Raw genomic sequence first — 23,825 nt, forward strand, 5'->3', positions numbered from 1 at the left:
ATTGTGCCACTGCACTCCAGCCTAGGAGACAGAGTGAGAGCCTATCTCTTAAATAAATAAATAAATAGTCAGTGCCCAGCACATAGAAATAAATGTTAGCGCTTACCAGCATTTTTATTGTTGTTATTATTGATCAGATAACTATTATTTTCAAGCTCCTTCCTCACTTAGCCCCCAGAATCTCCCACCCCTCCTATGGCAGCCCTGCCAGGGTGTCCAGGGAAGAACCAATGGCTTTCTCTGCCCTGCCCTATTTGGACACAGGATTTGCAGACTTCATTCCCTCATTTCCACCTCTAAACCATACTGACACTCTTGCAGCAGCTATGATATGAAATCCTTTTCTGTTCAGCCACCGGCTCTTGCCAACACTGAGAGGTTCAATGGGAACCCTCTTCCATTTCTCTCCTCAAGTGATCCCTTTCCCTCTCAGGGTCTCTGTAGCCCATTGCTCCGGGGACTCAGTCTTTTCATGTTATCATCATCAATGAGAAGTTCCGACTAATAAACTAATTCATACTATGGAGTTCATGTTATTTCAGCTTTTAAAAATAACACACAGGTGGGCGTGGTGGCTCATACCTGTAATTCCAGAACTTCAGGAGGTCGAAGTGGGAGAATTGCTTGAGCACAGGTGCTCGAGACCAGCCTGGACAACACAGGGGGGCCCCTGTCTCAATAAACTAAATAAATAAATAGCCCACAGAGAAGGCAACTCTTAACCCAAAGGAACGTCTCATTCCTTGTGGGATTTTATGCACTTTGAAGGAGATTCTGGAGGTGGGGCTCTCCCTGGTTCCCTCAGGGCTATTTTTTTTTTTTTTTTGAGACAGATTTTCGCTCTTGTTGCCTAGGCTGGTGTGCAATGGCGCGATCTTGGCTCACCACAACCTCCGCCTCCTGGGTTCAAGCAATTCTCCTACCTCAGCCTCCCAAGTAGCTGGGATTACAAGCATGCACCACCACGCCTGACTAATTTTGTATTTTTTTTTAGTAGAGATGGGGTTTCACCATGTTGGCCAGGCTGGTCTTGAACTCCCGACCTCAGGTGATCCACCCGCCTCGGCCTGCCAAAGTGCCAGGATTACAGGCGTAAGCCACCGCGCCCGGCCCCCTCAGGGCTATCTTTAAGGTACTGTCTGCCCTGCTGGCCTGTGGACGGGGCCCCTCTTGGTGTTCTCCCGTCTCTGTTCTGTTGCTCTCCCATTTGTGCCTGCCTGAGCTGCACACTCCTGAGAGCAGCATCTCCCTGCTTAGCTCCCAGCACAGCCCTCGGGGATGCTGTGGACTTGGGAGGGGCATTCCCAAGAGTCAGAGGCACCTTCCACACACCCTTACCCCATGCGTGCCCCAGGACTTGCAGCCTCTGTTTCCTTTCCCACGTGTAAGGATAGGTGAGCTTCTCTCCTGGCCTTGGGAGGCAGCCCTTCCTGTGAGAGCCTGCCCCACCTCAGCCAAGGTCTTGGGTCCAGCCCTTTCCCACCAGGGAGAAAATAGCAAGAAAAACAGATGAGAGCTGATACCCTAAGCTGCAGGGTCTGCTGGGACTGGGTCCTGGAGGAGCCCCAGGAAAGCTTTAACCCCGGGGGCTCTGGGTGGTCAGAAGGGTGAGGGGTGAGGAGAGAAGAGGGGAGGGACCCACTTCTGTAGCTAGAAGTCTCCTCCCTCTCTCCTGTCTAGGGCTATCACTGTCTACCTCTCCTCTCTCCATAGGTCATCACTGCCCTGATGTCAGTCCCAGGCTAGATCCCCCAATCCATAGGCTGGACGGCAGCACCAGAGGTCACCTACCCCACCCCACTGACTCTGGGTGGTGCCTTCCTTGGGCAGAGTCTTGAAGTTCCCCTTTTAAATCTCTTAGGCAAGGGATATTTTCAACCTGCCAATCATCTGCATCTCAACAACCCACAGTCAGCCTGGCACCCTGAAGAAGAGCTGGGCTTGGAGTCAGGAGACCCAGGCCAGTGGAGCTTCTAATTTATGAAATGGGGATTCCCTTATCTGCTGTGCTCACCACAGCAGCAGTTATGAGGATTACCTGAGACAGGACTGAGAAAGGGATTTGTAAATGATAAATGTGGTATAAATGGCAGATGTGATGGGTGGTGGGGGTAGGCAGGACACCTGGCCCCGTCCTCTCTGCAGTGGCAGCTCGCTTTCCCTGCTGAGGTTCACCTGGGGATCTGGCCCCACTCTCCGCTGTGTGGCTGCTGAGACAGCATCCCTCAGCCTTCAGAATGACCTATGTTCCTTTGGTCTTTGCCCGTAGACTCATGCCCAGAACTTTTTCCACCATATCTGAGAGGACACCATATCTGTGGGGAACACATTGAGATGGTCAGGAACAAGATGTGAGCAAGATGTTTAAATAGCCCTTAGGCTGTGTTTGCTGAGCATCCAGAGATACTGGAGTTTTCCAGGTGGCCATTTGTCTGGGAGCTTGGAGGGGTAAGAAGAGCTCAGGCAAAGGAATACTGGTCGGATGTTTACAGAGTACTTGCACACGTAGTATCTCATTTGATCCTCCCCCTCTGAAGTAGGTCTCTTTTACAGAGGAGACATTGATCTAGCAAGTTGCAGACTGGCAGCCCGAGTTTGGGTCTTCTCACTCCCAGTGTCTGCACCAGGCCTGGCCATTCTGCTGAGGGTACAGAGGAGGGAATGGGCTTCAATTTCAGCAAGAGAGTGAGGATTGTATCTAAGAAAACTTCAGAGGCACAAGTGCACTGGTCACCTCTCAAGGCCCCTTGGTGGTGGTGGTTTGGGGCACAAGAATCCTATGATCACAGAGTAGGAGAGGGGAACTGCTCCAAAGGTGTTGGAGTCATCTAGTCCTCAATTTCTTCACTGGGACAATGAAGGGATAGAAAATGAGATTCCAAAGGTCTCTTCTAGTCCTTATCTTCTAGATGGGGTGGAGAGGGGCATCTGGTTCCTCCCACTGGGCAAATTGTCTCCCTTCCTACCCCTATAGCCTTCACAGAGCAGGTGGGCTTTGATGGATGGTGAAGGATCTAGGAGAAGCGTTGTCCGGGGCGAGACAGACTTTAAGCATCATCACCATGCAGGAGAAAGCCGCAGATTCTGCATCCCTGGGGCGGAAGGAAACAGTCGGCAGCCTCTCCCTTCACACTCCTGGGTCTCAGGAGCTATTTACATGCTCAGGAGGGCACTCCATCCATTTCAGAAGCCGCATTGGAAAATAACAACTGGGCAAGCTGCTGCTGCTCAGCTGGCTTCTCAGCACAGAGCTGGGTGAGACCCAGCCCTTGGCACTGTCTCCAAGGCCAGTATGTGGGCAGAAGCCATGATGGCTGCTGGCTAGATTGGTTTAAAGGGAAGTAGGAACCCCTGAGATATGAAAACGCCCAACCCTTGTGGCTCACGAGCAGCCTCGTCATCCAGATGTTTCTATCTTCTTTGTGGGTCATGACCTGAAAAAAGTTAGAAAGCTCTGGCCCTTGACTCAACCTATTTCCTTTAAAGGACATATCATGATCTATAGTTGTCTTGTTTATTTTCTTGCTTTTGTGTTATCTGTCTCTTCACCCAAAATGTGAGATATGTAGAAGCAGGGATCTTTTATCTTATTCTCAGCACAGGGAGCAATGCCTAGCACAGAAAGCACTCGACAAATGCTTGCTGAATGAATGCATCCACGTATGCATGCGTAAATGCATGAATGAATGACTGAAAGTATCTAGCATGTAGTAGATGCTCAGTGAATATCAGTTTTCTTTCCTGAGCATCATTCCCAGTTAGCTTGGGAGTGCAGAGCTGGTTCTTGAGATCAAGCCCTTAGGAGGTAAGTGCTGCACAGTGATTGGAAGGGGAAACAGGAGGTTCATATGGAGGTGGGAGATGGGGCATGGCAGGGGAGTATGGGACAAGGCCAAGGGAAGGGGGGTTGTGTGAAAGATTTTTTAAAATGACAGTTGTGTCTGCTGGCCCAAGAGAAGGGATGGTTTGTTAATCACTTGGGTGTTTCGGTCAGTGTAGACGTGTTTTAGGAAGCACGGAACAGCACTGCCACCTTCCATGTGGCCTTGGGCAGATCCTGTGATTACTTTGAACCTCAGTTTCCTCATCTGCCAATTGGGCAGTCCTCATTCTGCCGGTGACTTCCTACGCGACAAAGGCTGTCATGAAGCAATGATGAGATAACCAGTGGGGGCATGCTGAGCACATGGGAGCAATTTTTACTGTGGTCATTTCCTTGAAATTCATAAAGGAGCTCCTCTGTGATTTTCTATTATTATTTTTGTCATTAATCAGGATTTCCTCTCTCTGTAGGAGAATAAGCCAATGCATGGCAAGCACTAAATCTTAGATCCTGAAGACTCAGCCCTCGAGCAAAAGACATGCACCTCCCCACTCACCGGGCCCTGGAAGAGGAGGGTGCTCCTCTTAGAGGCCCCTGGAGGCCAGGCGTGCCTCAGAGGGGCCTTTCGAGGCAGCTGGGAGGCAGATCCTCACACTCTGCCCTCCTCTCCCCCAGGTACAAGATGGTGGTGACCCCCCGGAGGGCGGCGGTGGCCATAGCCGGCTGCTGGATCCTCTCCTTCGTGGTGGGACTGACCCCTATGTTTGGCTGGAACAATCTGAGTGCGGTGGAGCGGGCCTGGGCAGCCAACGGCAGCATGGGGGAGCCCGTGATCAAGTGCGAGTTCGAGAAGGTCATCAGCATGGAGTACATGGTCTACTTCAACTTCTTTGTGTGGGTGCTGCCCCCGCTTCTCCTCATGGTCCTCATCTACCTGGAGGTCTTCTACCTAATCCGCAAGCAGCTCAACAAGAAGGTGTCGGCCTCCTCCGGCGACCCGCAGAAGTACTATGGGAAGGAGCTGAAGATCGCCAAGTCGCTGGCCCTCATCCTCTTCCTCTTTGCCCTCAGCTGGCTGCCTTTGCACATCCTCAACTGCATCACCCTCTTCTGCCCGTCCTGCCACAAGCCCAGCATCCTTACCTACATTGCCATCTTCCTCACGCACGGCAACTCGGCCATGAACCCCATTGTCTATGCCTTCCGCATCCAGAAGTTCCGCGTCACCTTCCTTAAGATTTGGAATGACCATTTCCGCTGCCAGCCTGCACCTCCCATTGACGAGGATCTCCCAGAAGAGAGGCCTGATGACTAGACCCCGCCTTCCGCTCCCACCAGCCCACATCCAGTGGGGTCTCAGTCCAGTCCTCACATGCCCGCTGTCCCAGGGGTCTCCCTGAGCCTGCCCCAGCTGGGCTGTTGGCTGGGGGCATGGGGGAGGCTCTGAAGAGATACCCACAGAGTGTGGTCCCTCCACTAGGAGTTAACTACCCTACACCTCTGGGCCCTGCAGGAGGCCTGGGAGGGCAAGGGTCCTACGGAGGGACCAGGTGTCTAGAGGCAACAGTGTTCTGAGCCCCCACCTGCCTGACCATCCCATGAGCAGTCCAGAGCTTCAGGGCTGGGCAGGTCCTGGGGAGGCTGAGACTGCAGAGGAGCCACCTGGGCTGGGAGAAGGTGCTTGGGCTTCTGCGGTGAGGCAGGGGAGTCTGCTTGTCTTAGATGTTGGTGGTGCAGCCCCAGGACCAAGCTTAAGGAGAGGAGAGCATCTGCTCTGAGACGGATGGAAGGAGAGAGGTTGAGGATGCACTGGCCTGTTCTGTAGGAGAGACTGGCCAGAGGCAGCTAAGGGGCAGGAATCAAGGAGCCTCCGTTCCCACCTCTGAGGACTCTGGACCCCAGGCCATACCAGGTGCTAGGGTGCCTGCTCTCCTTGCCCTGGGCCAGCCCAGGATTGTACGTGGGAGAGGCAGAAAGGGTAGGTTCAGTAATCATTTCTGATATTTGCTGGAGTGCTGGCTCCACGCCCTGGGGAGTGAGCTTGGTGCGGTAGGTGCTGGCCTCAAACAGCCACGAGGTGGTAGCTCTGAGCCCTCCTTCTTGCCCTGAGCTTTCCGGGGAGGAGCCTTGGAGTGTAATTACCTGTCATCTGGGCCACCAGCTCCACTGGCCTGCCCGTTGCCGGGCCTGGACTGTCCTAGGTGACCCCATCTCTGCTGCTTCTGGGCCTGATGGAGAGGAGAACACTAGACATGCCAACTCGGGAGCATTCTGCCTGCCTGGGAACGGGGTGGACGAGGGAGTGTCTGTAAGGACTCAGTGTTGACTGTAGGCGCCCCTGGGGTGGGTTTAGCAGGCTGCAGCAGGCAGAGGAGAGTACCCCCCTGAGAGCATGTGGGGGAAGGCCTTGCTGTCATGTGAATCCCTCAATACCCCTAGTATCTGGCTGGGTTTTCAGGGGCTTTGGAAGCTCTGTTGCAGGTGTCCGGGGGTCTAGGACTTTAGGGATCTGGGGAAGGACCAACCCATGCCCTGCCAAGCCTGGAGCCCCTGTGTTGGGGGGCAAGGTGGGGGAGCCTGGAGCCCCTGTGTGGGAGGGCGAGGCGGGGGAGCCTGGAGCCCCTGTGTGGGAGGGCGAGGCGGGGGATCCTGGAGCCCCTGTGTCGGGGGGCGAGGGAGGGGAGGTGGCCGTCGAGTTGACCTTCTGAACATGAGTGTCAACTCCAGGACTTGCTTCCAAGCCCTTCCCTCTGTTGGAAATTGGGTGTGCCCTGGCTCCCAAGGGAGGCCCATGTGACTAATAAAAAACTGTGAACCCTGTGGAGAGCACATTGCTGGGCGCCCATCCCCACCACTGTTGAGGGCAATAAGACAGCTTCAGCAGACAGGAAGCAATGACGGGGGCTGGGAGGAGCTGCGAGAGGGGGCACGTGGAGGCGTTGGAGCAAGGAGGGTTCCAGAGAGGGTGTGTCTGTTTCCATAGTTACGCACTGGCGGTAGCAAACCCTGATCAGAAAGGGAGATCCTGAAAACTCACAGGTCCAGAACACCCCCCATCCCCCCACCTCCCTGCCCCAGCCATGACATCCTGAGACCTCTCCCATTGGCATCTTCCTCTTGGTGACATATCTGGAGACCCCCTCATGGTGAAACATTCAGACACCCCCCCTCCTCGTGACACAGCGCCTCCCCCAGATGATGTCGCTCACTGGCACAGAGGCCCCGCACTGTTAACACCACGCATCTTTATTTGAGTGCTTCCCACCCAGAGTGCAACTCCGCAGGGCACTCCAATCTCTGCGCCTTCCAGCACCCCTTGAGCCCAGTTAGTCTGGCCTGGGGCCTACCAGGCCCATTCCTGAGTTCTGGACACCAGCCTCTGGGGAAGGGAGGCCAGCAGGTACCAGGGGCGGTTCCATCAGCCGTCGCTATGGAAGCGGGGGTCTTGGGCATCTCTGGAGTTTGACTGTAGGCCTGGTGGACCTGGCCCCTCAGGCCTGCAGCACCTGGAGGAGGACATGCTTCCTGAGCCCCTGGTGTGAGCAGAGCTCGGCTGCAGGCCAGAGAGGTGCAGAGTGGGGAGGGGGAGCAGCATCCTCTTCCTCACCAGGCCTCCCTCCCTCAGGTGCAATGCCCAGGTCTGAGCTCTGCCCACTGCAGTTCTAGATACTTCCGTACTTATGCAGAGCCTCAGAACCACCAGGGGAAGGAAGGCAGGGAAAGGTTGTTATCCCCAGTTTTCGGATGAGAGAATGTGTCCAAAGAGAACACCCTTGCTGAAGATCACTCAGAGCTGGGAGTAGACTCTGGTTGTGTGGCGGTCCACGGAATCACCCCCCTTCCAGGAGACACCGGCATCGCCTGGCCCTGCAACATCACTGTGAGTCTCTGGACATGCGTGCTAGTTGCCTGTGTCCACAAGTTTGTGTCCACAGAGCTGACCACCACCTTCCCTTCTCACCCCAACCCCCTGCTCCTGGCCTCCTCTCTGCTTCTGTGCTGCCCACAGAGGTAACAGAGTGGGTGGGTCAGGCCATTTACCTGGCTCCTCATCACAGCCTCCTCCCGTGACTTCAGTGTGCGGCTGAGGCTGGAAGAGATGCTGCAGTTAGAGCTTGGGGGAAGTGGCGGGGAACTGGAAAGTTCACGGTTATACACCCTCTTCTACACCTGTCCACCCTGCCGCTTGGAAAGTAATCAGCACAGCCTGACCCCAGTCTTACCACCCCTTCTCTTCGGCCTTGATTTTAAGCTGTCTGCTGCCTCTAGTCCAGTTCCAGAGAGGTGCTTACTCCTGTTCTCCCGTCCTCAAACTCTCACCTTTGACCTCCAGCCGGCAGTCCACAGATGCCTCCCCCAGCACATTTATGGCCTTGCAGGTGTAGACCCCAGAATCAAAGGGGCTGGGTTTCCGGATCTCTAGGGTGCAGACGCCTTGCTCAGAGAGGGCGCGGTATTTGGGGTTGCCCTGGATCTCCATCTTGTTTTTCATCCAGATGATCTTGGGCTGGGAGACATGGTCAGAAGAGAGCTGGGGAGGTATGGACTGGGGCGGGGCTCTCAACAGCTATCCCCAGGCTTAGGTGTGGACGCCCGGAGGATTCCTCAGCCCTGCTGTCCCCACCTGCCCCCACCAGCCCAGGGCACAACAGGGCCTGGCCCCTCACCTTGGGTGAAGCTCGGACACTGCAGAACAACTGGGTGCTGTAGCCAGGGGTGGAGGTGTGGTCAGCCAGGGGCTGGGTGAATGAGGGGGCTTCTGAGAAGTCTCGCTCAATAAACCCTTTAGGTTTGGCAGCAATATCTGGGTTCAGGGGAGAAAGTCGGGTGCATCTGAGCTTACAGGAGTGAGGGAGACCTGTCAGGACTGACTATGATTCAAGATCTATGGATAGCAAGTCGTGGCTTATTTGCAGGAACTTGGACAATCTCAAAGAGGCAGAGAAAGCTGAGACTGTAGCTGGGTGGGTCAGGGTGATGAGTAGAGATGAGAAGGTGGAAAAACCAGAGATAAGAGCATCTTGGCAGAAGATGGATGCTAGCAACTCAGAGGTGCCACGTTTCCTTTGGGTTTGTCGTTGGAGACTTGACTGGCTTTCTTTTTTTAAACAAAAGTTTCTTCCTAATTCTGTGCAGTTCAGGCTAGTGTTAAAAAAAGTTTGCCTTCTGGAACCCACACAGACTGTGGGTCGGAGAGGGCCTTGGGGCACACAAGGGACAGGGAAAAGGGCCCGGGGTTTAACATTTGACGCAAGAAGGTCAGGTGCCTGTGTGGAGACAGTAAATACTCCTATCTCTCTTGTCCATCTATGTGGTATGTATTAGGGTTGGGAGGCTTGTTTTAGCACACTACCCAGCCATGCGCAGGTCACCCTTTAGGTTCCCTTCGGACACTCACTGCCTGAGACTCGGCGGCTGCTGTGATGCTGGCAGCCACACACCTCTTTGGAATAAGCACACAGCCTCCAAAGGGGCATCTTTCATTTGTGTGGATTTGCTCTGATGTGTTTGTTAAAATCAGCCAACCACATTCACTACTTTGCAGCCACTCCATGTGTGTGTATGCATAGCCGTGGAGTGAGGAGACGGCAAGTGTTCCAGGGGCAGACGCCCAGGAGAAACCCAGAGAGAGGGGTGCAGAGACGCGGAGGAAGAAGCAGAGACAGGGAGAGAGTTAGCACAGCCAGCTCCGGGCCCAAACCCACCTGCCTTCTGGATGTGGGCGAGCTCCTTGGTGACGGTGGCCGAGGTGCTGAGTCCACACAGGTTTTCTGAGAAGACCCGGAAGGAGTACGAGTTGCCGATGATGAGGTCAGAGATGGTGCAGGTGGTTGGGTGGTAGCGCTCCAGCACTGTGAACCATTGCTGCAGGGCCCCGGGTGTCACCCTCATTTCTCACCCCTGTCCTCACCCTCCCTGCTTACCCTGGAGACCTTTCCTCACAGGAACTCATTCCATGCCCCCAACCTTAGGATGCTGAACCATCCAGCTTTGGGCCTCAGGGACATTGAATTGGAAGAAGGGGCCCCTGGGTCACTCAGGTGACCTCTGTAGGGTCCTCAGAGAATCCTAGAGCCTTTGTGTGCAAAGTGTGGCCCATGGATGTGCAACTTCAGCATCACCTGGAAACGTCTTAGAAATGCAGGCCCTCAGCCCCCACCCTGGACCTACTGAGTCAGACTCTGCCTCTTAGCAAGCTCCCCAGGTGACTCATGTGGACATTAAGATTTGAGAAGCATGGCTCCAGAACTTGAAAGGCTTCAGACAGCCCGGGCCAGCCCTCTTCACAGTCTTCAGGAGGCATCTGAGGTCCAGAGAGGAAGAGTCTTGCTAAGGGCCTCCTAGGGAGTCAGGTTAGCAGTGGGCAGACCAGAACTCGATCCCTAGACTCGGTCCCTAGACTCAGTGGGATGGGCCTTCCCCACCACCTTGACCACTTCGTACCCCGACCCCACTTTGCCTCAGCCAGCCTCACCCCTGTCTTTTTGTCTGCCTTCTGCACCATGTAGCCCAGGAGCTCTGTGTTGCCTGTGTCCTGGGGTGGCGTCCACTGAAGAGCAGCATTGCAGCCCCAGACGTCCAGGAGCCTGATGCTGCTGGGGGGTCCAGGTTTCTCTGTAGGCCCAGAGTGTGAGAGGAAGTGAGTGTGAGGGCCAGGCTGGCCACAGAGCCCCCACACCCAAAATTTGGCTCTTGCCACACTCCCTTGGCCTGCTCCCATCAGCCATCAGCTCTGGGATAGGAGGTTGGGGGCTCCAGGTCCCCCATGAGACAGCACTGTTCCCCTGGCTCCATACCAATCACCAGGATGTCAATGACTGCCTTGGCCTCCAGGTCTTCCACGCGCACAGTGAGCTCGTAGCGGCCAGAGTCGGAGCGCTGGGCCGAGCGAATGAAGAGGATGGAGTCCTGGTCCCCGGTGCGCATGCTCACCCGCTGGCTGTCCAGGGCATGGCCGTTGTGGGTCCATGTGGCCTGAGGCTTAGGCTTCCCCTGGCAGGGAGGAGCCCCCAGGGTGAGTGTAGGGAGGTGCCAGAGTCCCCACACCTCCTTAACTCCAGGAGTCTCTGGAGCTGTTCTCGGGGAAGCCTGTCCCACTGGCCCTTCTCAGGAGGGGCAGCAGAGGCTGGAGCCACAGGTGCTGCCCACAGCCACATCTTCCAGGTGTCCATCCCGCTCTGGGGGCCCACCTGCCCATCCACAGGCTGAGAATCACCAATGAGTCATGTGCATGATTGCGGAAGGATGAAGCCGTCTCGCTGGGTCTCAGCTGGACCCTTGGAGACCCTGCCATCTCCCAGGCTCCCCTTAAATGGGGGCCCTGGTTCCCACCCAGGCTGTTACCCTTGGTGGGGGTAATACCCACCTGGAAGGGGATTTGCAGGTTGACCGTCTCTCCCACCTGGCGGATGTAGGTCTGACGGAGGTGGCGGGGGACACGGATCTTGGGGGCCTCTGGATCAAAGCAAGAGTCTGGGCTTAGCAGTGCAGTGGGGTGGCTGATTGGGGTTTCTGAGATGGGGCAGGGGACAGCTGGTGAGGGATGCTGGCTGGGAGGAGGGTCCTGGGTGTGCCTGGCTGCCATGGGGTCCCTCCTTGCAGGAAGGGTGAAGCTCTCACTCCTGAGGTCTAGGGGCCCAAATCCCTTAAGGGAGCAGGAGGTTTCAGGAGGTCAGCGCCTCCATGGTGTGAACTGGTAAGCATCCTGGGCACTCCCTTGGCGCCTCGACTCTGCCAGGATGGGATTTGTCCTGCAGCCCAGGCATTCCCAAGCACCAGATGGGCCCCAGCTGACTCTCTGTCTCCCCCTGCTGGGGAGCAGGTGCTGCACCTGTCAGGCTGCACTTCTAGGAAGGGGAGGCCACTGCCGTCTTCCTGCTCTAATATCCCCAGCTCTCCACAAGCCCAGGACTTTCAGAGAAGCCTTTGTGAAACCCTGTTTGTCCATTCCTCTGTCTCCAGGCCCTATTGAAAGGTTTAGGATCTTTCTCTTCCCAAGTGAAGCCAGGGCGGGTATCCCCCCTTCTTCCTCTGTCACCCTCCCAAAATCTGTTAGTCTCAGAGCCGGGAAGTCCTTCTTGAAGTCCTATTTCAGCTGCCTGCTATGCTAAGGAATGACATTCTGACCCTCATCTGGTCAGGGGCAACCACTGAAGCCCCTGGGCATTCTAAGGGAAGCTGCAGTGGCCACCATCCCTGTCCCCTGGGGTGGGTGCTGGGTCCATGACTGAGGCTCCTCAGCAGCAAACAGGTGGCAGCAGTTGGTTGGTGGCATGCAGGGCGGAGGAGGACAAGACAGTGAGAAGGAACACGGTGTCTCTGAGGATTAGCTGAGTGGGCACTTGGCTCTGGGAGCTCAGGCATGGAATGCTCTAGGGACAGCTGCAGGGGGTCAAGAATGCTTGGCAGCTCCAGGTGGCCAAGGAGAGACAGCTGAGCAGCCAAGGATCCTGGACAGGGCCCCCACTCTGCCCTGTGATAAGCCTGGCTGTTCCCCACTTGTTCACAGCCTCCTCTCCCTCTTCTCTCCAGGAAATCCCCTTCTCTCCTGCCAGAGGAATTTGAATGGAGAAGTGGGTGCTGAGTCTGGCTGGGTCCATCAATGCTGGGCCTCAGGGGCCTCTCAGAGTCTGAGCTCCCTGGTTCCCTGGGGAAGGCCCAGCACCGTCCCAACCAAGAAGCCTTCCTGGCACCTCCAGGACTAGGGTCGACACAGCCATAATGCAGCTGCCTGGTGGGGCCACATCTCACCTAGAGCCAAAGGCTGGGAATTAGGGTTGGGAGGCTTGGGTTTTGGGTGCCACCAGAGAAGATGCTCTGCAGTGCAGTGGGACATGAGTGGTCCTGTGTAGGCATCAGACTCTGGGACTGCCAATAAAAGGCTGGGTGACCTCAAGGGATGCCCTGGGCTCCTTGGGATCTCCTTGGGCCTTGATAATCTATGAATCTAAGCTCCCTAACCCCATGGTTCCCATGTCTCTCAGGCCTCAGAGCTGAGCATTTCCTTTCGAATCCAGACTTGACCCCTCCTGTGGATCCCCTCTCCTTCTGGAGGCCTTGTCTAGAGCTACCAGAAATCATCCATCCCCTAGTGGAGGAGCAAGAAGGAAGGTGGAGAAGGCTTCAGGCCACCTGCCTGCCTGTGTCTCTCCTCACCCTGGGGGACTGTGCTGTCCCCAGAGACCTCAGATCAGACCAAATGACTCACTGTCATTAACAGACTGAAACCCGATCAGCTCCGGGAGGGGAGCGAGGGGAGGATTGAGGCTAATGCACCTTGCAAATAGAAATATTAGCAATGGGGATGGCAGCTGGCCTGCGGGGCCCCAGTGAGGTATGCCCTCTGCAATGGAGAAGTCTTCATGGGCCTTTTGCAGACCTTCTTTTTCTTTCCACTAGGGCCATGGTGGAACAAGGGGCAAGCAGCGCCTTCTCTCTGTTTCAAGACCTTTGAGAGAATCTGGAACCCAGGCCACAGGAAATGGGCAGAAAATGAGCATTTATGGCCACTGGAGAGATTGAGATTAGATGGGAGATAGAACAGATGGACTCTTAGCATTGAGCAGGTGACCCAGGGAACTTGACCTTTTGTTTCTGAGCCCCTTTCTCAAGGCGTGGGGGCTGGACCACTCAGGGAAATGGCTTCTTAGACCTCCAGAGGCCCCTTACTGCTGAGGAACCTGGAACTTTCTTAAGGCAAGATGGTGATAGCGTGTGGCTTGTGCATGTGAGCGTGGGACGGGGGAAATGACTGCCTGGTTCCCTCTACCTGCTGGCCTCAGTTTCTCCATTAGATAAGGTGTTTGGGAAGGGCTGGGTAGCTGAAGGCCAGGATGGGCTTTACCAATGTTCTCTCGGATGTGGATGGGCTGGTCCAGCATGGCCGGCGGGCCAGCCCCTGCAGAACTCACTGCAGACACGCGCAGGAGGAACTTGTCTCCCAGAGCCAGGTTCCGCACAGTCTGCTGGGTCACCATCATGGGCCGGGCACTCACAGGCACCCACTCCGAGGCTGAGGGGATGGAGAGAGTGTGAGGTCTTTGCAATGTGGCCACAGGCGCCCCTCTCCATGGGGCTTCTTTTCCTGCTGGTGATCTGGGGAAATCAGCCTCCCTCTCTGGGCCTCATTTTCCCCTTGTTTGCCTTCCCTGACTTCTTGTCAAATGGCATCAAAGACACCTGATGTTAGAGCCCTGAAATTGTGGCTAGAGATGAGGTTGTTGAAGCCCAGAGAGGGTTGGACACATTTGCAAAGTCACACAGCAAGGTAGGGGCAGAGGCAGAGGCCAGGCTGGACTTGGGCCATGGAGGGGGACAGTGGCAGCAGGGATGTGGCCCCCACACCCCCACCCCATTCCCGCTTTCTCCTCACTGTCTCTTACGCTAACATTCCCCTCTCCAGCTCCTCCCTTTCCACTTCCTACAGTTCGGGGTCCTCTGAGACTTAGCACTTCCTTCCCTTCTCACCAAAGGAGAACCCAGTGTCCCCTTACCCTTCCCTTACTCAGAAGCTCCTTGGAGCTGAGGACAAGGGAGCCCCTCAACCCACCCACCTACCCTTTCTTGCTCTCCTGCTGGTGGAGCAAGAAAGGGCAGGTGGGTGGGTTGAGGAGCCTACTGCTCGCATCCCCTCCTTCTGTATCTCTCCCAGACTGACCAACCACAGGGCCTGTGCACTTGTCCCTGCAGCCCTCCATGACAACCTCCCCTGGGTGTATGCAAGACTTAGCCCAGCACTCACCTCCCTCTCTGCAGAGCTCCAGCACATAGCCCTGGAGGCCCAGCCTCCCCAGCCTCTCTGGGGGCTCCCAGCTCACAGTCACAGAGCTGCTGCTCACATCATCCAGGGTCAGCAGCAGTGGGGCACTGGGGACATCTGGGGAGATGAAGAGGTTCATGGCCAAGAGCTCCCCTCCACCCCTGACATGCCTGCCTCCCTCCTCCCCCTGCCCCACCTTCAGTCACCTTCACTTGGGGGTGCAGGCTTAGTGGCTGTGGAGGCTGTAGGGGCCTGTGGGGCAGGGGCCTGCGGCTTGGGCACCTGCTCTTCTCTGGTGGACTCTGATACTGCCACTTCTCCGGGAGGCTCTGCTGTGGGCACCTTGGCAGATTCAGATGCGGTCTCCTCTGGACTGCAGGCAGGGCCCTCGGAGGTGTTTTTTTCCATCATTGCTGGACTGGCTGGGGGGCCAGGGTGGAGTGTGCAGGGGTCAGCCGTTGGGGGGCCTGGGCCTCTAGGGTGCCTGGGACACCTAGGTCCAGGCTTATATAGTCAGGGGCTGCCCCACCCCCAGCAAACGATTCCCAGCTGTGGGGTCAGGTCAAGCAGGAGGACTGGAGGGTGGAGAGGCGCCCAGGCCAGGAATAGCTCTGGGGGAGGAACCACAAGGGCCCCTTGAGGAGTCACTTCCTCATCCATCTCCCCGACTGGCCTTCAACAGCCAGGGTGCTGGTGCCCAGCTGGGGGAGGGCGCAGATGGGTGAGATGGGACATCGAGCAGGCCGCGTGCCAGGTGTCAGGGCAATAGGAGGAAGAACTTCTATCTGGAGAATGAGCCCAGCTCAGGCTCTGTGTGTCTGGCGTCTATGGGGCCACTTGTTCCCAGAGCTTCTCAGACTGGGTGCTGGGGCCCTGACAGTTTGGGACAATCGTCCTTGTGAGCACTCCCAGCTTTGCCTCTGGGGTCCACATTCCCTGGGCTCCCACAGTTCCCAGGGACTCTCGCCTGTGCTGTATGAGGCTGAGGGCCCTAGAGAGGGAGGGAATTGAGATGCTGAGGGTGGAGCTGCTCAGAGGATGGTCCTCCAGCATTGGAACCCCAGGAAGGGGCACTAAGTCTCCTGGCTCCTGTCTCAGTTGGGCGGCTGGTAAGGAGCTCGTCTCCCCTGATGCCTGCTGTGGGCCTCAGTTTTCCACCTGTTACAGAGAACCCCTCGCCCTTCGGGATGGGTTGCAGTTGTAGGCAGATCTGGAAGATGCCCTAGTGGAGGAGAGCACTCTGAAGCTTCTAGACTCTTCCAAGCAGGCTGTGGGCATGGGCTTTCTCAGTGTGCCAAAGGAGGCAGATATGGCCAGATTTCTAGTCATTGATTCATTTGTTCGATAAAATGTTAAGACTGGGAATCACTGGAAAGCCAGAAAATGCCATGTGTCAGGAAGGAGGGAGAACATTAAGAACTTTTATTGCTGGTATTGGAGCAGTCACTCTGGAAAATGTGAGAGTTTTACTAGTGCCTAGTAAAATGGATGAGGTGCCTACTCCGTGACCCAGCCGTGCCGCTCATATAACACCCACACATGCCCCAGGAGACATGGAGAAGAAGGTTCATGGCAATGTTATTTGTAATTGTTGAAATGTGGGGGAAAACAGCTGTCCCTCAACAGTGGGATGGATAAATAACTGTGGAGTGTTTATGCAACTGTAAAGCAAAATATGGGGTCAAATGAGCAACTTCAGCTACTCACAGACCCAGTGATGAGCAGAAGAGCAAGGCACACAGAAATGTTGCGTCTCATCTGTCTCATCTACATTAAATCCAAATGCAGTCAACACCAGGCTCCCTTCTTCAAGGTACATCCGTAGGCGGTAAGGCCAGAAAGGAAGATGAGGCCAGTACAAAAGTTAGGATGGCGATTGCCTCTAGGTGGAGGAACAGGGATATCTGTGATCGTGAGGGCTGCAGGGGTGCTAATGAGGTTTCCTTTCCTGACCTGGGTGGTGGTTACACAGGTTCTTACTACATAGTTATTCTTCAAATTAAACAAATACATTTATGCACTCTTTAGCACGTAAGATGTGCTCACAATTTAAAAATAAGTAAAAGTGATTTATTCAGGGCCCTCAGCAGCATGCATGCTCTTCCCTTTCCTGAGGACTGGGGACACCAGGGTGTGGCTGCCTCTCAACCCTGCTGTCTCTGCTGGGGAGTGGCAGTGCAGGGCCTGGGAGCCTCTGGATCTGGCCCTCCCTGGATGCCCTCGCCCTCTGCTAGGTGACTCCACGTCTTGCCAGGCAGGGAGTGGGTCCTGGAGACTGGATCTCCATCCTTGGCCTCTGACTCTGCAGCTATAAGTGAATGTGACTAACCCCACAGGACACTGAGTCAGCCCTGGAGAGCCTGTCCCCGGCTGGGGGAAGGGTGGCCCCAGGGGAGGGCAGTTGGCTGCCCACAAGGGCTTGCAGCCCTGGGGTTTCAAAGATGCCTGTGTGGTGGGGTGGGCAGTGGCAGGGATTAGGGAATACTTGGCCCCACCAGCCAGAGGTGAAATGCCGGGTACCCCCTCCCCACACCCCACTCCACGCCTTGCCGAGTCCTTGTTTTCTTCGCCTTCAGCAGGGCTGTGACCTTGGGATCAGTAGCATCTGCCCAGCTCCAGCTGGTTCAGATTTCAGATATTTCCTCCTTCCCTCCACTTCAAACCGGCGTCACAAACCATCAGGCCAATTTGTGATTATCCTAAGTCACAGATAATCCAAACATCAGAGAATCCACAAATCAATTCTCTTTAGTTCTGGGGTGAGTATCTGGAGCCTTTTTGGATAAAGGCATTCCTGGGGCCCTGGGAATTCAACAGAAGCCTGATGAGAGCGTCTCCACCTCATAAAGGCTGAAAATCTGTCTATTCTTCTGAGTCACCCCATCACATCCTCCCGACCTCCTATCTCAGGCCAGCTTGAGCAGAGGTACTTTGATCTCTGAATGGGTGGAGGGATGAGTGTTAGGGGAGGGGTGAACAGAACAAAGGGCTAAGCCCAGCACTAGGACTATTGACAGATTTCAGCCCAGCCACGGAATGGGTTGCTTCCAAGGTAATCGGCTGCCCCTCACTGGGAGGCTGGAGGGCCATCTCTCAAGCACTCTGCAGGGACTCCAGTCCCGAGAGGCAGGAAGGGTGCATGAGATGACATCTGCATTTCCTGCTGGCCCTGAGGGTCCAGGGTTCAGGGCTTTCTAACCTGGTCCTGTGATGAGCTCCCACCACCTTCCTGTGGATCAGAAGAGAGGGAGTGTTGGGATGAAAAGCCTTCTTTCCCAGGGCCTGCTAGCCTTCAGGAAACAGAAAACGTTTCTTTCAACAGGGAATTTAATTTAGAAATCTGGATGGCAATGACTTTAATATTTGGAAGGCCATCAGCCATGCTTGGGTTAAGTCCAAGGCAGGTGAATCTGAGGACGCTGGCCTCCCACTGGGGCTCTCTGCGGCTAGGCAGAGGACATGGCGGCCTCATCTCTGCAAGCTCAGGGGTCCCAAGGCTCAGAGGAAGGAACCCAGAAGAGATGGGGGAGGTGAGTCCAGTGGGTCTAGTGGGCGCTCAAAGATAGACCAAAGCAAAGCGCCAACACACTGTTAAGCTCTTGTACTTTATTGAGCAGCTGTGGAATTAGGAAGGGGAAGTAGGATAGGGGACACGATTACGTTCCTAAGTGAAGGTTTCAAGCTGGGCTTTGCAGGGGGTATAATTAGTATGGTCACTGTGTCTTGTAGGATGTTTGGCTCCTTGGTGATAGAGCTTGCCAAAATGGTGTCCTTTGATAAGGAGGGCTGGGGGGCAGGGAGTTGAAGAAATTCCCTTGCCAGGCTTGGGGATCTGTAAACATTTCCATTAATCAACAAGTGTGTACTAATCCCGAGTCTTACATTGCGATGCCTCACTATCCCCACAGCCCCATCCCTACCTCTCTGCCCACCAGGGCTGAGCTCAAATCTGTGTGTTGTGGACCTCTGCATAGGCCCCAAGGGAGGGAGACTGAGGCTCAGCCTGGGACTCAGCAGGGCAGGTGATCAGGCTCCCGGCCAGCTGGAGCCAGAGGGGGACGGGGCATCCTTGGCCCCCGTGCTGTGTGCAGAACAGAGGGCTACGTTGCAGCGAGTGCATCCTTGATGGCATTGGTGAGAGGGAAGCGCAGATCCTGGCCACAGAAGGAGCCCTGGAAGTCATCCAGGTCCAGGGCCCATACCATGGCGCCCGCCAGCTGCCTGTCCTTCAGGTACTGCACCTGGCAGGGGAGGCCCAGAGGAGCAGGGCTGGGTTCCCTGACCCAGAGTGTGTACAGGGCACATGTGCTCTGTGAGCCCAGCCCAGACCTCAGTGCAAGGGACAGGAATCTGGCTGCTGGGAGCGGGGCCTCCTTCTTTCTCTTTGTCCTGAGGTGTGGCCTTGGGGAAACCTACCTTGCTTTTGACGCTTTCCTGGTCGTCGTATCCTACCCACTGGTTGCCCTTGGTGGCATAGGGGACCTGCTGGCCGAGGATTCTATGGACTGTGGCTCCGCGGAGGAAGTCACAGATCTGAGCAGATAACAGGGAAAAGGCAGTGTGGGGAGTCGTGCCGAGACCTTGCAGGTCACCAGGAGACGCCACTCTCCAAATCTCTTTTAGCTCCTGCTCCATCCTGCAGCCTCACTCTCTGCAGGGTCTGCAGGCTGCATGCATCACACAAGTTTATACAAACCAGAGGCAAATGACCCAGAGATGGTGGCTGCCTTGGCCCTGCTTAGCTTCTTCCATTTAAACAGAGATGTGAGGCCTGCTGGTTGACACTGAGGACAGGCCCAAGGCCACACAGAGTAGCAGAGGCTAGAGTGAAACAAAAAATCTGCCTCTTGACCTCTGCTCTTTCCTGGGCTGGAAGGAAGACCTCAGCCCCATAGCCAGAGGGCTATCCCAGGTGCCTAGTGGTGCAGGCCCATGTGCCTGTACCTGCTGGAGATTTTCAGCAACAAATGTCCTAACCTCTCCCTTCCACTTCCTCAGGCATGCTGGGGCAACCGGACATTTTCTTTATTCCCAAAGGAGAAAAAGCAAGAACGTGGTGGGGAATCACCTTCCCCAGGGCTGCTGGTGGTGTGGGGGAATCCTACCTTCTCCCCAACTCCATTACCTCATAGTAGGCAAGGGTCCCTGCCTCCTTGGTGAACCGGCCTGGAATTCCCGGTCCTGAGATTGGGGCTCCAACACCAGTCTCAGAAGAAGCCAGAGTGAAGCTCCTCCCGAAGGTGGGGATGCCCATCACCAGCTTACTGGCAGGAGCCCCCAGCCTCAACATGTACCCCACAGCATAGTCCTGGGTGGGGTAGGGTGGGAACAACGTGAGCAGTTAGTGCACAGGTGCGGAAGGTTGAGCAATTAATACTGCTGCCTTAGCAGGGGTTATTGGTGTATGGTGCACTGGGGATTCCCCTGTCCCTCCGGGAACGGATCATGTCACTTTAAAGTGAATTTTACAGTTTCATTCTTGAAAAAAATCCTTTGAGGCATAGGAAGGGGCTATTACTATTTGACAGATGCAGAAATCAGGTGGTTGGCTCTGAGGGCACAATGACTCCTACCTCCTCGGCTCCCAGCCTCTCCCCATTCGGCCCCCTGCCCTCACTCCATTTACCCTGCAGATCACCTTCCCAGAGCAACGCAGCATGCCCAGACTTTGGGCCTCAGTTTCCTTATCTGTGGAATGGGCCTCATGACCCCCCTCTTGCAGGACTGTACTGAGGGCTAGAGAGATTGGTGTGTGAGCACTGGCAGATGGCAGGTCTTGCGGCCCCCTCCTGGCCCTCCCTCCTTCTGGGAACTCACAGTGTTGCTGAATCTGTCAGGACTTGCATCCTCCTGACCTCGGAACAGGGGACTGTGATGGCCTGTGGTCCCACGCCAGGCTCCATGAAAATCGTAGGTCATGATGCTAATGAAATCCAGGTGTCTGAGGAGGAAGGGGATGGAGGGTGAGGCAGGAAATTATTAATAGAAAAGCTTTAGGCCGGGCGTGGTGGCTCATACCTGGAATCCCAGCACTTTGGGAGGCCGAGGCAGGTGGATCATGAGGTGAGGAGTTCAAGACCAGCCTGGCCAAGATGGTGAAACCCCGTCTCTACTCTAACTACGAAAATTAGCCAGGCATGGTGGCAGGCACCTGTAATCCCAGCTACTCGGGAGGCTGAGGCAGGAGAATCGCTTGAACCCAGGCGGCAGAGGTTGTGCCACTGCACTCCGGCCTGGGCAACAGAGTGAGATTTTGTCTCAAAAAAAAGTAAGAAAGAAAAGCTTTTGGGCTCCTATTTAAGGCTCCAGCAGGATGTGAACGAGGGAAGCAGACAGCAGCCAGACAGGCCACTAGCCCGAACCCCAGCAGTCCCCAGTGACCTCGGTCCCCATTGCTGGCACACCTCCCTGTGCCACTCCAGGGCACGGGCTCAGGGTCCCACAAGGGCACTTCAGTCAAGAATGGGTCTTCTGTTATGCCCAGCACACATTTGGGAGCTGGCCTACAGCCCACCTTACCCCCACCACTTCTGCCAGGCTTATCTTAGTGAAAGCAGATTAAAAGTAGCATCAACAGACAGCCTGGCGGGGAAAGAGCAGGACCAAAGGATGACCTGAACCTAAGATGACTGGGGTGGGAGGAGGTTTTGCACACCCGCACCGGTGAGCCCACTGGGGGTGGATTGCATGAATACGGGTATGTGGGGCAAATGGTTGACATCCACCTGTTTCCCACCCTCTAAAGAATCCATTTAATTAAGCACTGAGTTTACACCTCCCTGGGATCCTAAAGAAAGCTCTGAAGTCATTTTGAAGAGTCTTTGTTCCTTACTCCTGGGTTTCCCGAGACCCATGGCTCTGCTCTCAGGAGAGATGAGGCTGCTTGGCTGTTCCTTGTTCCTCACAGGCATGAGGGGTGGGGTGAGGATGAGGCGTGGGGCCAACAGGAAAGGGGGAGGCCTGTGTGTATGAGAGAGCCTTGAGGACTCCCCAGCACTCTAGAAAGAGGCTGCTGTGTGGCCTCTCCAGGGCCCAGCACTCTGCTCTGCCTGGTGTGGAGAAAATACTCTGCAATAGCTGGAGGGTTTGAATAGCTTTTTCCACTTCCCTTTCCAAAATACTTTCATAGCAGCTCTCTCAACTGCTCAGCCAACAGCCCAGGTGAAAAAGGAAAGGCAAGGATTGTTATGCCTCATTTGACAGATGGGGAAACTGAGGCACAGGGCAGGGAAGTGACTTGCTCAAGGTCACACATCAAGGCTTTGGAAGAACTGGGACTGGAAGCCCAGTGTCCTCAGTCTACATGGAGTGCTAGGGCTGGGGGTGGCGGGGAAACAGGAGTGTTGGCAGAGGTTCTGGGGAGGCTGCCTGGGGCAGGAGACTCACTGGGATATCTTGGCAATGTCATAGCTGCTGTCAATGGTGACCTTCCCCGCAGACAGTGCTGCGCTGAGCAGGAGCTGCTTTTTCCCTGGCTGGGCTTCCTTTATAAATTCGGCCTTCATTTCCTAGATGGGAGACAGGCAGGTGAGAGAAAGGGTCCCAAGTGGCATGAGAGGTAGACTCATCGAGGGCGGACTAGGTCTCTGCGCAACCCATTTGCTGTACTCCCCAACCTGCCTGGGGCCTAGTGGAAGTGATAAAGTGGCTCATCAGTGGTCCCATCCTCAAGTCACCCATCCTTTTCCTAAAAAACTGACTAATCTTCTCCCCAAACCCATGCACACCCATCAGCACTCAATTACTCCCTGTCCTGGAGGGAGCATCGGACAGTGGGTGACCCCTATTGGCCCACAGATGACTTTGGGAGACATTTGCCTTTCGGTCTGTGCTTTGTTCTAGCTGGTGCATGAAATCCCAAAGTTAAAGTGATTGCTGCTGGTATTGTGAACAATTTGTTTAGACTCTCCTTCTGCCCCTGGTAACTGGAGATACTTAGGCTGCCCCCAGGCAGAGCTGAGAGCTGCTGGACACAGTGCATGCTGGGTATGGGTGGCATCAGTATGGGATTGAAGGGTGGGCAATGGGCAATGCACTAAGTGGGTAGTTATAAGTGGGTGCTCTGCTCAGTCACAACCTTCCACCTCTTAGAACCCCATTCCCACCTCCCACCATGGTCACAAGAAGCCTTCCTTGCTATGTGAGATCTTCAGGGCACAGGGTCCCAGGACACTGCCCTGAGGCTGAAGTCCCTCTTTACCTGTCCTCAGGAGGACAGCAGCTGACGCCGGCTTCTAGCCCACCCCATTCCCTCATGCCTGCCCACCTCCCTCCCTGTCCCTGACCTGACCAGCACCTTGATTAGGGTGGTAAAATGCTGTTTGTCTCTCCGTCCAGGGTAGAGCCAGGCAAGGTCCAGCCCATCAAAGCCATGGGTGCGCAGAAATGGCGGTACTGACTTGATGAAAGTCCGGCGACTCTGGGTGTTGGAGGCTATCTTGGAAAATCTAGGACCAAAATCAGCCCTGTAGCATGCTCAGCACTGATATGCTAGGTGCCTTGGGCCTCTGGTGGGGTTTCCAGGACCTGCAGAGCTGGGATCCTGAGGCCACACAGCTCTGGGAGGGCATGATTGGGACAGGGGTCGCCTCCAGGCATGCATGTGCCTTAGAGCCAGGCATTCCAGGTTTCCAAGTCTGGCTCTATCACTTACTAGCCAGCCACTGTGAAAGGTTATAACCTGAGTCTCAGTTTCATCATCTGTAAAATGGGGACAAATATAACAGCTCACCTTGCTGTTGTGAGGACAACATGGGATCATGGGGAGACAGGGTGCTGGACACAGAAAGAGTACCCAGCACATGGGTGCCAACGATGGCCATAACCACCCCCATTTCAAGCCCTGCTCCAACCCCACCTAATCCAAAGACTCCTCCCAGGGTCTCCCCACTTCTCAATGTCCCCATTGGTTTCCATCTCTCTCTTTCCAGCCCTAATGGTGGTAGCCCCAGAAGTCCCATATTTTCGGGCCTGTGAGGTAGTAAATAGAGCATTGGCAGGGAATTGGGAGATCCACTGTTAACTTGCTGTGTGACTCTTGGCAAGTCCTGCTCTCTCTCTGGGCTCTGCTTTCTTTGCTACACATCAGGCAGGCCCTTGACAAACAGGTAGGCCTTGTACCTATCTAGTCTGGAGCCCCTGGAACATCCATACAGTGGATGCGGGAGACCCAAGCTCCTCACTCCTATGCCATCATCCTCTGCCGTCCTGCCCCTGGGGAGAGGCTCCTACCTTTGAGACCCA

General features: G+C 55.3%; 3 protein-coding genes across 15 annotated transcripts in view, besides 7 other annotated features; 1 reads left to right on the forward strand and 2 right to left on the reverse strand.

The window, feature by feature from the left end:
- The window catches only part of ADORA1 (adenosine A1 receptor), a 39,680-nt gene extending 33,037 nt beyond the window's left edge, over positions 1-6,643 (forward strand). For 4 of the 5 annotated variants that reach the window (NM_000674.3, XM_047446499.1, NM_001365066.1 and 1 more), the window contains one exon: positions 4,499-6,643. In NM_000674.3, coding sequence (NP_000665.1) covers positions 4,499-5,138 — 640 coding nt within the window. In that variant the 3' untranslated portion in view covers positions 5,139-6,643. Of the gene's footprint in view, positions 1-4,293 lie in introns of all 5 variants that reach the window. The other variant, NM_001365065.1, reaches the window with a different exon arrangement.
- Positions 4,908-5,087: a silencer, noted in NCBI's record as "fragment chr1:203134798-203134977 (GRCh37/hg19 assembly coordinates)". NCBI's record gives its function as "represses an EF-1alpha promoter that drives an FKBP-Casp9 reporter gene in an ReSE screen in K562 erythroleukemia cells {active_cell/tissue: K562}" and the evidence as "EXISTENCE:reporter gene assay evidence [ECO:0000049][PMID:32094911]".
- Positions 5,415-5,925: an enhancer, noted in NCBI's record as "H3K27ac-H3K4me1 hESC enhancer chr1:203135305-203135815 (GRCh37/hg19 assembly coordinates)". NCBI's record gives its function as "activates a minimal SCP1, AML or CMV promoter by ChIP-STARR-seq in naive H9 embryonic stem cells {active_cell/tissue: H9 hESC(naive)}" and the evidence as "EXISTENCE:reporter gene assay evidence [ECO:0000049][PMID:30033119]".
- Positions 5,813-5,902: a silencer, noted in NCBI's record as "silent region_1716". NCBI's record gives its function as "represses an Ori minimal core promoter by ATAC-STARR-seq in GM12878 lymphoblastoid cells {active_cell/tissue: GM12878}" and the evidence as "EXISTENCE:reporter gene assay evidence [ECO:0000049][PMID:35858748]".
- Positions 5,926-6,436: an enhancer, noted in NCBI's record as "H3K27ac-H3K4me1 hESC enhancer chr1:203135816-203136326 (GRCh37/hg19 assembly coordinates)". NCBI's record gives its function as "activates a minimal SCP1, AML or CMV promoter by ChIP-STARR-seq in naive H9 embryonic stem cells {active_cell/tissue: H9 hESC(naive)}" and the evidence as "EXISTENCE:reporter gene assay evidence [ECO:0000049][PMID:30033119]".
- On the reverse strand, positions 7,049-18,452 carry MYBPH (myosin binding protein H). 2 transcript variants are annotated; one of them, XM_047421205.1, is made up of 12 exons: positions 16,290-18,452; positions 14,789-15,004; positions 14,565-14,699; positions 13,668-13,835; positions 11,190-11,278; positions 10,621-10,816; positions 10,299-10,438; positions 9,529-9,688; positions 8,491-8,627; positions 8,144-8,330; positions 7,865-7,913; positions 7,049-7,329 (listed from the first exon to the last, which is right to left on the reverse strand). In XM_047421205.1, exons 1-11 carry the CDS (start codon positions 16,399-16,401, stop codon positions 7,897-7,899), a joined length of 1,557 nt encoding a protein of 518 aa, XP_047277161.1. In that variant the 5' UTR covers positions 16,402-18,452; the 3' UTR covers positions 7,049-7,329; positions 7,865-7,896. The 2 variants fall into 2 exon arrangements, with proteins under 2 accessions (XP_047277161.1, NP_004988.2); NM_004997.3 differs by lacking the exon at positions 16,290-18,452 and having other exon boundaries at positions 14,789-15,064.
- Positions 8,986-9,986: an enhancer, noted in NCBI's record as "H3K4me1 hESC enhancer chr1:203138876-203139876 (GRCh37/hg19 assembly coordinates)". NCBI's record gives its function as "activates a minimal SCP1, AML or CMV promoter by ChIP-STARR-seq in primed H9 embryonic stem cells {active_cell/tissue: H9 hESC(primed)}" and the evidence as "EXISTENCE:reporter gene assay evidence [ECO:0000049][PMID:30033119]".
- Positions 13,199-13,728: an enhancer, noted in NCBI's record as "H3K4me1 hESC enhancer chr1:203143089-203143618 (GRCh37/hg19 assembly coordinates)". NCBI's record gives its function as "activates a minimal SCP1, AML or CMV promoter by ChIP-STARR-seq in primed H9 embryonic stem cells {active_cell/tissue: H9 hESC(primed)}" and the evidence as "EXISTENCE:reporter gene assay evidence [ECO:0000049][PMID:30033119]".
- Positions 16,646-17,845: an enhancer, noted in NCBI's record as "CDK7 strongly-dependent group 2 enhancer chr1:203146536-203147735 (GRCh37/hg19 assembly coordinates)". NCBI's record gives its function as "activates an origin of replication core promoter dependent on BRD2, BRD4, P300/CBP, MED14 and CDK7 cofactors, with strong dependence on CDK7, by STARR-seq in HCT116 cells {active_cell/tissue: HCT116}" and the evidence as "EXISTENCE:reporter gene assay evidence [ECO:0000049][PMID:35650434]".
- CHI3L1 (chitinase 3 like 1) overlaps positions 18,169-23,825 on the reverse strand; it is a 7,774-nt gene continuing 2,117 nt past the window's right edge. The window contains exons 4-10 of one of the 8 annotated variants that reach the window (NM_001276.4): positions 23,814-23,825; positions 22,879-23,029; positions 21,969-22,090; positions 20,400-20,523; positions 19,708-19,890; positions 18,999-19,115; positions 18,169-18,823 (exon numbers count right to left, since the gene is read on the reverse strand). The exon at positions 23,814-23,825 is cut by the window's right edge and continues 45 nt beyond it. In NM_001276.4, the coding sequence (NP_001267.2) occupies positions 18,683-18,823; positions 18,999-19,115; positions 19,708-19,890; positions 20,400-20,523; positions 21,969-22,090; positions 22,879-23,029; positions 23,814-23,825 (850 nt within the window). In that variant the 3' untranslated portion in view covers positions 18,169-18,682. Of the gene's footprint in view, positions 19,116-19,707; positions 19,891-20,399; positions 21,543-21,968; positions 22,091-22,878; positions 23,048-23,813 lie in introns of those variants that run through there. The other 7 variants (XM_047442840.1, XM_047442848.1, XM_047442847.1 and 4 more) reach the window with 7 other exon arrangements.

This window comes from Homo sapiens, chromosome 1 (genome assembly GCF_000001405.40).
Source record: "Homo sapiens chromosome 1, GRCh38.p14 Primary Assembly".
NCBI lineage: Eukaryota > Metazoa > Chordata > Mammalia > Primates > Hominidae > Homo > Homo sapiens.